Below are 13,363 nucleotides of genomic sequence, written 5' to 3'. Positions count from 1 at the left end.
ACATTGCATGCATGTATGAAAATATCACATGTGCCCCATAAACACATATAATTATTATGTATCAATTTCAAAAACAAAAAAAAAATTGGTTTAGAGATGGGTTGGCTTGGTATGTGTGTGCAAGCAGGAAATGGATGAAAGCTATATCACAGCCTGACATTGAGGTGGCCCTTAACAACAGTGACAAGTGGCAGTGCATGTGGTGAGCTCTTTACATAGAAAAGGAAGTGTCCTGTAGTTAGAATGTGCATGGGTTCATGAGCAATGGCAAATGGCTTGACTGGGAGGTTAAGGGGTAAGAAAAAATAAAATTGAAAGGACAGAAAAATACGGTCTGAGGTAGAGGGATTTGCATGGACCTATAGGAATGGGAGTGAAATATAAAGATTTTTGTATCAAATGTTAACATCTACCAGAAAGCACCTACCATGGAAGAGGCACGAAATAACAAGCTAGACAATATGAGCTGGCCAGTTCACATCAGCAAGTCTTTCTCATTAGCCTCCCTAGTGCTAGCACAACACTCATATAAATAAAATGGCTATATTTTCAGGGTTAGAAGTTTTGCATAGGATCAGCAGGATAGCCCTCCACTTACTGAGGCTGATAAGTGACTGGTCCAATCAAATATGCAATCTGCTAGAGACGGAGACCAATACAAATTCTCTGGAATGGCACCATCTCTACAGGAGACCAAACAGTCCCTTGGTGATTGGACTTTTCATCCTGGAAGAGGCAGTAATTCATTTTTATAGGAATAGACACATGTTCTAGGTATGGGTTTGGCTTTTCTGCCCATAGCACTTCAGCCATCACTACTACTTGAAGACTTACAGAGGTTTGGTTCACCAGTGTGGGATCCTACATGATACAGCATCAGATCAAGAGATTCACATTGAAGAAAGGAGGTTGAAGAGTGGGTATCTGGTGGCTGACCACTGGATCACTGATTTGTATCCACATACCACACAAACCAAAATTTGCTGGTCTGAGGGAGCAACGGAATGGCCCGTTGAAGGCACAGCTGAAGTGCCAGCTTGAAGATGACATTGTCAATGTGGGGCTCTAACCTCCCAAATACACTGTACACCCTAAATCAATGATCTTTATATGGTATTGTATCCCAGGTGCTTGAATACATGGATCCAGGAACTGATATATGGAAGCAAGAGTGGTCCCACTTATCACCACTCACAGTGACCCACTTGGGAAATTTGTGCTTCTCATACCTGCAACTCTTGGAGCTGCATGGCTTGAAGTTCAAGCCAAAGAGGAAATGCTTCCACCAGGAAACATAGGAAAATTCTAGTTGTAATATAAGCTTTGGCTGACACCTGGGCATTTCAGGTTCCTCATAGCAAGTGACCAGCTTAAAATAAAAAGAGTCACCATCTTGGTGGTAGCAATTAACCCTGAAAGAAAGTAGCATTCTTATATACAATGGGGAGCACGAAGAAATATGTTTGGCACCCATGTGGTCTATTTGCCTACGTTTGATGATAAATGGACAAGTGCAGCTATGGCTTGAAGAGGACAGGGTGGCCAGGAGCTCAGGATGGTCACCACCATGCCACTGGGAAGCCACCAAGACCAGCAGATGATGAGGAAAATCTAAAGTGGATAGTGAAGAAGAGAGATGATAAATATCATTTGAGATCTTGCAACTAGCTGTTTCTGCAAGGGTACCAGTTTATCCTATCAACCTTAATCTTACAACATTCTGCCAGCAAAAGAAACCTACTAAGATCCTAGAAGATTGATTTTCAGTATGTATATGAAGATGTGTATCTGAGTGGTATAAGCAGTGGACTAGAATAGTCATTGGTATTCTGCCAAGATGTCCCTTTAAGAATGAAGGTCTTATTTTACCAGCTTCTGGAAGTGCTGACAGCTGTCAGCCCTCTTTGTTAAGTGTCCTGGCTGAAAAGCGCATCCTTGCTCAAGGTCATGGCTTCTCCCTGGGTGCAGCAAATAAAGACTGATCTCAGGGTTATGAAGGACTGACCCCTTTGCCCCAACTCATGACAATCCCCAAGAGCCATCCAGTCTCAGACTTTCCTCTGGGATTACCTATGACTTTGATTAGACTGCATCACAGCCCACTTTTCCCCTCTTCCCAATTCTGCTCCTTCCTCTTCCATTCTATAAGTACTGTTTCCAAGAGAATTACCTAATAAGATTCCTGCTCATTAATCTTTATGTCATTTCAGGAAACTCAATCTATGAAACCATTGATAGTTTCATGTCAAGCAAATTTATGCTCTGAACCAAAAATCAAGAGACTCTTGTTCTAGTCATGTGTTTGCTTCTAATGTGTTGATTTCCCCCAAGCAAGTCAATAAACTACATGACCTTTATTTTTAATCATCACATTTATGAGAAAGGAAAGAAATTGCTGTGGTTCTTAGTCCTAGACTAAGAACCAGAATACCTATACTTAAGTTCCTGAGTGGCTGTTAATTGCTTTTGTGACCCTGAGAATAACAATCCAAGCCTTTTGTCCTGTCTCTAAAATAAGAAGTAGACTAAATGATTTTTAGTGCTCTTTCCAGCTCTAATAGCCTGTGGGTCTAAATATGTAAATCCCACAATCATTATTTCTGTAACATAGCATTTAAGATGGCATTTTCCATTTTATGAATAACCTTGTTGTCAGGAAAAAAAATTTTTTAAGTCCTGATGCTCACCTCTGACTTTAATCTTTCTCATCTCATTGTTCTTTCCTTGACATTTTTAAATCCTTCTTAGACATGTACCTTCTTTTTTCTATTCCTAGAAAGATATGCAAATAGTGGGAGAACAACATGAGTATTAGCATTGACATAGAACTATTAGTTAGCTTAATCTTAAACACTTCATATTTTCTGCTCTGTTCCCTTTTTTTACCATCTCTATTGCATTGTGGGGATTTTCTACCATGGTCTTTTTTTCCTATATTCATCAAGCGTTTACTACTAGAGCTCTTCAGAAATATTGTCATGTTTCACCAAATTCTTTCCTTCTACTAATACCCTTTCTCAACTACCTTCCTGCTCCACTCCATTCAGTTTGCTCCCCTTTCTGGTCATTATCATAGAGGTTGCCTCAAACTAGTCCTTTTCCTTTCCTATCTCTACTCTCATCTAAATGATCCCACACGTTTTCACAAAGAAGACAAGAGATGTCAACACATTGCAACAGGAGCAATTAGAAATGGGCTTGACGGCTGGCTTGTGTCATCCTGGACATCTGAGGAGGAGCCAAAATTAGAAATGAGCTGAGTCTGTTTATGGCTTAGTGCTGCCAGAGGAGTTTTCTGAGTTAGTTCTCCAAGGCTATATTTTCCGAGTCATCTTTCACAACTCGCAGGCCAAAACTCATAACTCATATGCTGTGTTCTCCATCAAGACACAGTTAATGTCAGAAAGTGGTTACCCTCCAAAGGAAGATCTTTACTCATGTGCTGATGGACACCCCACAGAGTCTGTGAAATGAAGGGCATATCGCTCACCTGTAACAAAGTTGCAGTGAAAGTCTAAACCATACAGGTGCCTCACAATAAAAGTTAACTCATCTTCTCATTCTCATCTCTCCAAACCAATGATGTACTTAAAAAATGAACCATGTTAAAAAGACACATATATTGGCATGGTTCACAGACTCCAAGCTATGTGAAACAGTGACTTCATGGAAGAATGGAAAAGTGAGAAACCATGGGATCCCTCGGTTAATATCTCCCAGGCTTGTTACCTTCTGGGTGTTTACTTTTTATTGTTCCATGAATGTCAAAGATAGCAGTGTTGTTGGTGTTGTTTTCAAATCTTGCCACTAAATTGTGCAGAATCAGTGGGAGGCTAAAACCCAACTCTTTTAAGCTAACACATGATTTTGAGCTTTCTTCTTTCTATGAGCCTCTAAATGCCAAAGTTGTCAGCTGCCTCCCTAGTGTTAATTATTATTAACCATGCCCTATTCCCAATGCCTGGGTCTTAGATGGCTTTACAATAAAAACATTTACCTGTCCTCAACACACGTGGTCACTAAACCAAGTGATAATTGTTTTCTTTCTGTCTTCCCCTCTTCCTTTCTTCATTTCTTTCTGTGGCTTAAGGAATAGCTTATAATTGCAAAGTCTGTAATAAAGGCGTCACCAGAGATGGTTACTATTTTAGTCCATTTTCATACGGTTATGAAGAAATACCCAAGACTGAGTAATTTATAAAGAAAAAGAGGCTTAATGGACTCACAGTTCTACATGGCTGGGGAGGCCTCACAATCATGGCAGAAAACGAAGGAGCAAAAAAGGCACGTCTTAGGTGGTGGCAGGCAAGAGAATGTGTGCAGGGAAACTACCCTTTATAAAACCATCAGATCTCATGAGACTTATTCACTATCAAGGAGAACAACATGGGAAAAACCCACCACCATGGTTCAATTACCTCCCACCAGGTCCCTCCCACAACACGTAGGTAATAAGAAAGCTACAATTCAAGATGAGATTTGGGTGGGGACACAGCAAAACCATATCAGTTACTAATTATAGGATTTTGACTAAGCAAGGGTGGGGCCTATGAGCTTATTGATACACATAAATCACAGCCCATTCCACCTACTCTGTTGTTCAACTGAGCTCCAAACACTGACGTGAGGCTGGGGATGCTACATTAATGCCACAGTTGATGCTAACAAAGAAATAAGGATGCTGGCTATGAAATTTCTTGGAGAGAAGGAAATATTTACTGTCTGCATCAAAGTTTTTGTGTTCTTTAAATATTGCTCCCCAAGCCTGCTGATTTTGTAAGAGAAAGCAGGTTGGAGAGTCTGTTTCTCATATTCAAGGTTCTCAAAACAAATCAAGATGGGAACAGTAGCACCACCAATGGATGTTGGTAAGCAGTAACTAATAAAAGCCAGGATAGAACACTTGGCACATGGAGGGTGCTGGGTTAATCACCATCAACCTAAAGTTAATATATATTAGCTGCAATATTGATTTAAATGACAGGAGAGGTGTCACATTACAGCCATCTTTTCAAAATTTGTACTCTACTTCTTCAATGTATTTTGGCCACAGTATGTAATAAAAGGTGTTAGAAAAGTTTACATTTATTACTTGTTGAAATATTTTGGACTCTTGGTTATATTAAAAATATGCTGTCTGCAAAAATGAAGATGATGCGTGGACCAAAATGTTCCTTAACACTACCAGCATATGTTCCTAGCTCTGCAAGGGGAAATGATTGCAATTCCTTCAACTACTGAGAAGAAACTATGGTCAAGGGAGCATCACTATGGGTACACCAAATGATGTTAACAAGACCCTTCACTCCACCATCCACCCTAACTCTCAGGAAATGCACTGTGCTATTAACCATGTCAGAGGCATGTTTAAGAAAAAATTGATGACAGCACATCATATCCTAGAAAATTGAGAGGTATAACATTTCCAAGCACCATGTTCCCATGAGAAATAATCATAAGGTGCCCCCTTTTGACGTTATTTATGTTTTATTCCTTACCCAACAATGATATAGTTGAGGGATTAGAGTTTCTTTTTAAAAATTGTTGCCTGGGTGTGATGGGTCACACCTGTAATCTCAAGACTTTGGGAGGCTGAGGCAGGAGGGTTGCTTGAGGCTAGGAGTTTGAGACCAACCTGGGCAACATAGTGAGACCCTGTCTCTACAAAAAGTAAATTAGTCAGGCACAGTGGCACATGCCAATTTTCCAAGTTACTCAGGAGGCTGAAGCAGAAGGAAGGATTGAGCCCAGGAGGTCAAGGCTGCAGTGGGCCATGATCACATCACTGCACTTCAGCCTGAGTGAGAGAGCAAGATCCTATCTCAAAAATAATAAACACATACATACATACACACATACATACATACAAATTTGTCAGCCAGGTGTGGTGGCTCACGCCTGTAATACCGTCACTTTGGGAGGCCAAGGCGGGTGGATCACCTGAGGTCAGGAGTTCGAGACCAGCCTGGCCAACATGGTGAAATATAAAATTAATAATAAAAATTAATACAAAAATTAGCTGGGCATGGTGGCAGGCACCTATAATTCCAGCTACTCGGGAGGCTGAGGCAGGAGAATCACTTGAACCCAGGAGGCAGAGGTTGCAGTAAGCCAAGATCACGCCACTGCACTCCAGCCTGGGCAACAAGAGCAAAACTTCGTCACAAAAAAAAATAAAAAATTGTCAGCAACCCAACATGCTATGGCATAACAGCTGTAATAATAAATCATTGCATTGATATATTTATATAAGGCATTAGAGTTTCAAATGCCTACAAATGTATTCTTATTCAATTAAATACTGTCAATATCTTTTAAGATCTTACAAACAAAAGATCTCACACACAAAAATACAACATCAAACGAAGCATTATTAGCTCCAACCAGAAAATGATGAAAAGTAAGGCAGGGGGTGTTAAGTAACCTTCCAAGGTCACAAGCTGACAGATTCGAGAAAAGGTTCGCAAGAAACAACAGACAGAAATATTATCAAGACGGTAAAGGTCAGATGCTGAATAACTCAATTACCAGAAATAATGAATATATAAAGGAAAAATTTTAAGCCTCTACTAACTCAGAAGCCTCAATGCTGTTAACCACTTCAACAACTCCACCCCACCAAACATTTGAAATTAAACCCTTAATTTTACTTTTTTTCATTTTTTCTCTTCTTTTTCTATTAGAAGTATAAGTGAATAAAGAAATTACCTAATCTGATCATCATAGATAAGGATTCGATACCTTTGTTGTATTGCTGACACCTTTGGCCAACTGTTAAGGTCTGTGGGCCACTCCTCCGATGAGTGTTTGAATGTATGAAAGAAAATACGTAGGATTACAAAAGACACCAATTGCATTGAAGTACAATTATAAAAGTATCCAGAAAAATGTGATTTAATGATGTCTTTCTATATGAATGCATTAAGTAACAAACTCTAGCTGCAGGTCTAATAACTACTATAATTTTCAAAAATAGTGATAAAGCACAAATGATGTTCCAAGATATCTGCAACAACTGTGATATTATATAAAAATATCAGTGTTTTCTACTGCTGACAAGGTCAGAGACACTCTTAATACTACTGTGGTTTGTGCCAACATATATAATTGAAGAAATGGCTAAATTTCAGTTAGTAGTTAATTATTTAAAAGATGGAATTTTACCACTTGTGTTCTATCCAAGGGCCTCCTGGGGTCCATGTACCCTATATCAAAAACTCCTGCCATATAACAAGGAAAGGATAGGAACACTCAGAATGCACATAAAGTATTCACTGTAGCCTGAATTAGGATAAGGTTTCATCAGCCCAGACAAGAACACTGTCTTGAGCTTCTCTTACAATTCCCCACATCCCCTAGAACAATGTTTGATAAATAGCGGTCAGGTGCTCAGGAATACTTGTCTTTGGACTCATGGCTGGCCTTACCTCATGGCTGAGTCCCCTGGCAGGGTCTCCCTTCCTGAGCTGACTTCTGTCCCTCCTGGTGATAGGTGGACTCTCCTTAACAAAACAAGCGTGTGGCCTTCGCGAGCCAAAAGAGAAAGAATGAAACAGCCCCTTATCTCCATTGGCAGGTGGGAAAATTGCAATAGCAAAATGGGAATAAAACAAATTAAAAACATATCAGAGAGAATGTTTCATTTAATATAGTTTCTACTTGACAAATTATTTCTCCTCCTAGTGGAACACTTTATTTTATATGACACTAAATGGCAAGAATAAATCAAAAGCATTGTTTAGTTGGGGTAAGGAAAGAAATAAACTTGAATGAATTTAAACTGTAAGTCAAAATGGTGCAGATACCTCTGACAAATTACAGTGATTTTTCTCTCAATGGTTTCATTATGCAAATTATGTTATTTGTTTTCTAGCTTTGCCCAAAATAAATGATGGTGCCAGATTAAAAGCAAATCATATCTTTATCAAGGATCTCAACAATGTGACTTAAAGTATTACAAAATGTACCATGTGCTGGCCATTTTTATATCACCCATTGATCATTTAATTTCAAATGTTGATGTGGCAATGTAATATCATCACTTCAGGTTTTTTTAAATAAAGATCCTGTATGTAGAGCAGTATCATGGAAAATTAGAGCTTATAGTAAGAAGAAGAAAATGGCTGTGATTTTTCTAGTCTTCCTGCCATATAAATAAGTTATTTCTTATTTTGTACCAGTATGTTTACATTTCCTATTATGCCTCCACAGTAACAGTAGAAAAAAAGGCCAAGTATTTCTGAATTAATGAAATAGCAAAATGAGGCATATTAAAATAAATTGTTCTCTGGAGCCAGATTTTTTCCTGTGGTGACGTGTCTTTTCCAGGCCAGGAGAACCGATTTCCCAGTCCACTTCTTTCCCTTGGATTGTCCCTCAATTCTCAGCTTTGTTTCCTCACATCTCTGCTTAGCATCTTCTCGGTGTGGGTGCCACAAGACTTTTTCTTTCATGCCTCCCTGGCTTCTACTCATGACTTCGTTCCTAGAGCAGTCACACAGAAAGCAGCATGAAATAAACAATCTAAAACAATTATTCTAAACAATAAATCTAAAACAATGATTCAAGCAAATTGAGAATCATTTGCTTGAACCCTGGTAATCAAGTAAATATCCAAAAGATATGAAAAATAAAGGAGAGAAATAGTTAAAATTCAGCAAATCTATTAACTTTTTTTCCCTCTAAGGATTGGGAAAAGACTCTAATTGATTTAGCAGTAGAAGGGTTTGTATTTAGATTATTTACATCATTTTACTACTAAAATCTTCATTCTCAGTGATCTCTATAACCTGACCCACCAGTAAAGTGTCTTCCTGATCCAGAAAACTATGGGTTTTTTTAGAAATCATAGCAATACGGCAGCCAGACAAAAAAATAGACCAGGAGAATGTTTTAGAACATTGGCTATGAGCACTAAAAGGCAGTTATACCATCTTGATCTATTTACTGTTCAGTTCAAATCAATAACATTTATTGAGCCTTCGTGATGTGCAAGCCTTTTGAAACCACTGGCAATGGCTGTGCATATGTCATGAGTAGGAGTGATGATCTTTATCCTATGGACTATAGTAAGATGTTTAAGCAAGAAAATGACCTGGCCCTGTTACAGTAGTCAGTCAGGCAGACATAACCAGAGCAGGTGAGGGTCCCCCCAGTCACCAGGAATGTCAGGCAACTATGATGTGATGGTCTGGTGGTGGCTAAACTGCCTCTCTAAAATAATAATTGGTCACAACTGGCACCAAGGAAAGGCAGTCTCCCAATAGATAGGAAAAAGTATGAAACTCGTGATCAGCAGCTTCCCAATAAGATCTCAGGAGTTGGGCAAGTGGGCTCAAGCATGTACACTAAAAGGCAAAAATGGTAAGTTTAACTGGTAGATGACCTCCTAGGAACATTAGACTGGTAAAGGAAGAATGCCTCAAGTGAGCATGTGCACAACACCAGTACATACACTGCATGCTCCCCTCCCAATTGCTGACAGGCCACTGCTCATGTAGACTGCCCATCCCAAGGGAAAAATCGGGGAGAAGGGATGCAACCCCTTGGAAGCATGCCAACATACAAAACCCCAAGTCAAAGGGCAAACAGTGCACTTGATCTCTCAAGTCGCCGGCTTGAGAAGTAATGAAAGGAATTTCATTACTTCTCTAAAGCTTTTAAATAAACTTTCACTCATGCTCTAAAACTTTCCTCAGTTTCTCCCTCTGCCTAATGCCCCTCAGTTGAATTCTTTCTTCTAAGGAGGCAAGAAGTAAGGTTGCTGCAGACCCATACGGATTTGCCACCACTAACAGCCCCAGCTTCACTTTAGTAAGATTATTAAAAAGAAAAAATTGAAAGAAAATAAGCATTAAAGAATGGCAGGCAACCTATGTGACTTATTTCTCTTTGCTTGATATTCATGCATCCTTTACAGTTTTCCACATTCTAGTGAGCAAACACCATGCAATTCATATCTCTATTTCTACATCCAATCTATTTCTATGTAACTGTCAAATAATCATTCAATATTGGTATTAGGCCAACTAGTTTAAGCCCCATTTTAAAGATTAGGAACTTGAGGTCAAAAGTGTTCATTTCATTTAAAGTCAGGTAGCCAGTGGTATAGTTGAGATTAAATTCCAAGTTTATTGACTTCATAGCAAGTGATCTTTCCAATATTTTATGGTCTATGGAGTCAGGCTTACAAAATTTTAGCGTTTGATTAATTCTAGTAACATTGCTAAGACAGTGTGTTTTGAATTTTTTTAAATGTTAGACCTAGGAGTCACAACTAAAAATTCCTTATGCCCTACAATTCAAAAGACTTTCTAATAAAAAAAAAAATTACTCATAATGTTAAAATAAAGTCTAATGAACCAACTCAAATATGATTACCGTATAAGAATATTAATACATTGTTTTAGTATGTAACCAAAAGGTTTATGAAATATTAAGAAAATAGATCTGTTTTCTTAATCACTAAATTATTTGGAGAATTCATAGAGAATGAAAGACTATTCTCATTGTGAGAATGAAAATTTTATTTCATATATTCAGAAAAGTTTTCAAGTAATTTGGATTAAGTCTTTTATTTTGGACTTCTTATTAAATAGGGCAGGTTTATCTTGTCTTCCTCCAAAACTCCACTAAAATAAAAGCAAAGGAAATTGGTATAAACCCAGGAAAACAAAAGACATGAGTTCAGAGATACTAGTAGGTGACAGATGTTGATAAAATTTTGTAAGATGAAGTGTGGGTAGATGAGCAGTAGCTAACAGAAAAGAGAAAGCTAAAAGCCTACTATCAGCTTTGGGGGAAATGGTGGTTGTCAGAGGGAAGTAATGCCTCTCGTGGTTCAGAACCCTAGAGAGTTCAGACAGCAGAGCCACCAGGAAACTATAACTCTCAAAATGGGTGTGGGTCAGAGCTGACAAAAAGAAGACTGTTCAAATGTCAGTATATGTATAAAAATCAGTTATACATCTGTGTCTTCTTCCCAAGCCCAGACTGTCAAATAGCTGCCTCTTCACTATTCTGGAATAAAACTGGGGATTCAATCTCAGGAGAAATAAAGCTGAAGAGGCTCTTGCCTCAGGGACAGTAATCACAACTGAGTGTTCAAGTAGAGTCCCTGCAAGAAACAGCATAACTAAGAGGTGATCTACATATTGACTGGGCATGGTGGCTCAGGCCTGTAATCCCAGCACTTTGGGAGGCTAAGGCAGGTGGATCACTTGAGCTCACGGGTTTGAGACCAGCCTGGAAAACATGGTGAAATCCTGTCTCTGCAAAAAATATAAAAATTAGCTGGGCATGATGGTGCGTGGCTGGAGCCCTAGCTACTTGGGAATCTGAGGTGGGAGGATAGCATTGGCCTGGGAGGCAGAGGTTGCAGTGAGCTGAGATCATGCCACTGCACTCCAGCCTGGGCGACAGAGCCAGACCTTGTCTCAAATAAAAAGAGAGATGATCTACATAGTGACTTGGCTCCAGAATGCTGGCAGTCTGGCACATATGTTTCAGACAGGAGAATAAAGCTTCTCCTGGAGAAAGCAGTCAGTTCAAGGCAAAGGGCCCAAAGAAGTGGTTAAATGCTCAATTAATCTATGGTAAGGCCCAATGGTTCACAAAACAATCCATCCCCCACATGCACACATTTACAAAGTGCTTCCAATTACTTTTTCATACCTCATTTGTAAATATGATGAGCAGTCAAGCATCATCAAACATTCTCAATGAGGCCTACCCAGACTCTCCTTTTTAAAATGTAATATCAGCTGGGTATGGTGGCTCACTCCTGTAATCCCAGCACTTTGGGATGCTGAGGCAGATGGATTAGCTGAGGTCAGGAGTTCCAGACCAGCCTGACTGGGTGAAACCCAGTCTCTACTAAAAATACAAAAATTAGCCGGGCATGGTGGCGTATGCCTGTAATCTTAGCTACTCGGGAGGCTGAGGCAGGAGAATTCCTGGAACCCAGGAGGCAGAGGTTGCAATGAATGGAGATCCTGCCATTGCACTCCAGCCCCAGCCAACAACAAGACTCTGTCTCAAAAAAAAACAAAAAAACAAAAAATTGATATCACCCATCTTTTGGTACTTGCAATCCCATACCTGCCTTCAACCATTAGAAGATAAGATACTGAAGGGCAGGGGTTTGTGTCTATCTCCAGCATCTATCTTAGTCCCTGGCATATCATAATTATTCAATAAATATTGTTGAATGAATGAATGAATGAATGAATAAGAAAAAGGTCTTTGAAATTAAAAATATAGAAGCAAATGCAAAAATTTAATAGACAAGTTGTACAATAAAATGAGGAAATCACCCAGAAAATAGAATGAAAGGATCAGGAGAAGAAAAAAAAAGGAGAAACAATTCTGGAATAAATAATAGAAGAATATAGTTCAAAATGAAGGATGTGAGTTTCCACATTTAAATGATCCAAGTAGGGCCCAGAAAAATAATTTAGAAAGACTCAAGCCATATTACATCATTGCAAAACTTTAGAGTATCAAGGAGAAAGATCCTGAAAGCTTCAGAGAGAAAAAAATAAATTATACACAGAAACTAGAAATCCACGCATTAATAGACTTCTCAGTATCAACTCTGAAAATAGAAAATAATGGAAAAGTGGCTTAAATTTTCAGAAAAAAATTTATTTAAAACTCAATGTCTGGCAAAACAGCTAATCAAATGTGACAATATAATACATAGTTTCAGACATGCAAGTTTCTACAAAACATTATTTCCCCTAACCCCTTTCTCAGGAAATTATTGGAGAATGTGCTCTAACAAATAAGATGGAATCTAAGAAATAGTATTCAGGAAATCCAGTAATGTTACAAAGAACCAAGGAGAGTGGTAAAGGGAATTTCCAAAAAAGAGTGAATATAAGTGTCTAAAACAACAGCTGTGGAGCAGGCTTAGAATGTAACCAGTTAAGATTAGAGTAGTCAGATAGAGATTTCTAGGAGGAATTCGCCAAGAAAAAAGAAAAAAACCTGACCATACTGAGAAGATTTTTATAGTGCTTGTGCAAAGCATATGACTGATTTAGTAATAGGTAAAAAGAAATGTAAGAAAACACATTAAAATAAGAACATTTTAACTCCAGGAAAAGCAAAAGCATTTGTAGTAAAACAAAAATGTTATTATATGTAGTACACTACAGGGCTCAGCTCTAGCCATAGTCATGGTAATGAAAATTCTAAACGTAAATAGAAATTATATGTAAATCTATTAGGAAGATGGAGAGAGGAATAATCAGGGGGGAAAGGCAAGGGGAGGTGTGGTATAAGAAAGCAAAACTCTCAAAACAGGAAGTCAATAAATAATACCTAAAGTTTAAAATCAAGAAGTCACAGTATAAGCATT

The 13,363-nt window shown here is 38.6% G+C and overlaps 1 long non-coding RNA gene across 1 annotated transcript; it reads right to left on the bottom strand.

The window, feature by feature from the left end:
• Positions 1-1,459: 1,459 nt before the first annotated feature.
• On the bottom strand, positions 1,460-8,480 carry LOC105379360 (uncharacterized). Its single transcript, XR_001745704.1, has 4 exons — positions 7,428-8,480; positions 3,998-4,112; positions 2,688-2,772; positions 1,460-1,958 (listed from the first exon to the last, which is right to left on the bottom strand). It is a non-coding gene; the product is annotated as an uncharacterized LOC105379360 (long non-coding RNA).
• Positions 8,481-13,363: the final 4,883 nt, after the last annotated feature.

The sequence above is a fragment of the Homo sapiens genome, chromosome 8 (genome assembly GCF_000001405.40).
Source record: "Homo sapiens chromosome 8, GRCh38.p14 Primary Assembly".
NCBI lineage: Eukaryota > Metazoa > Chordata > Mammalia > Primates > Hominidae > Homo > Homo sapiens.
The sequence above is the reverse complement of the archived record's forward strand: the minus strand, read 5'-3'. Positions and strand labels throughout refer to the sequence as shown.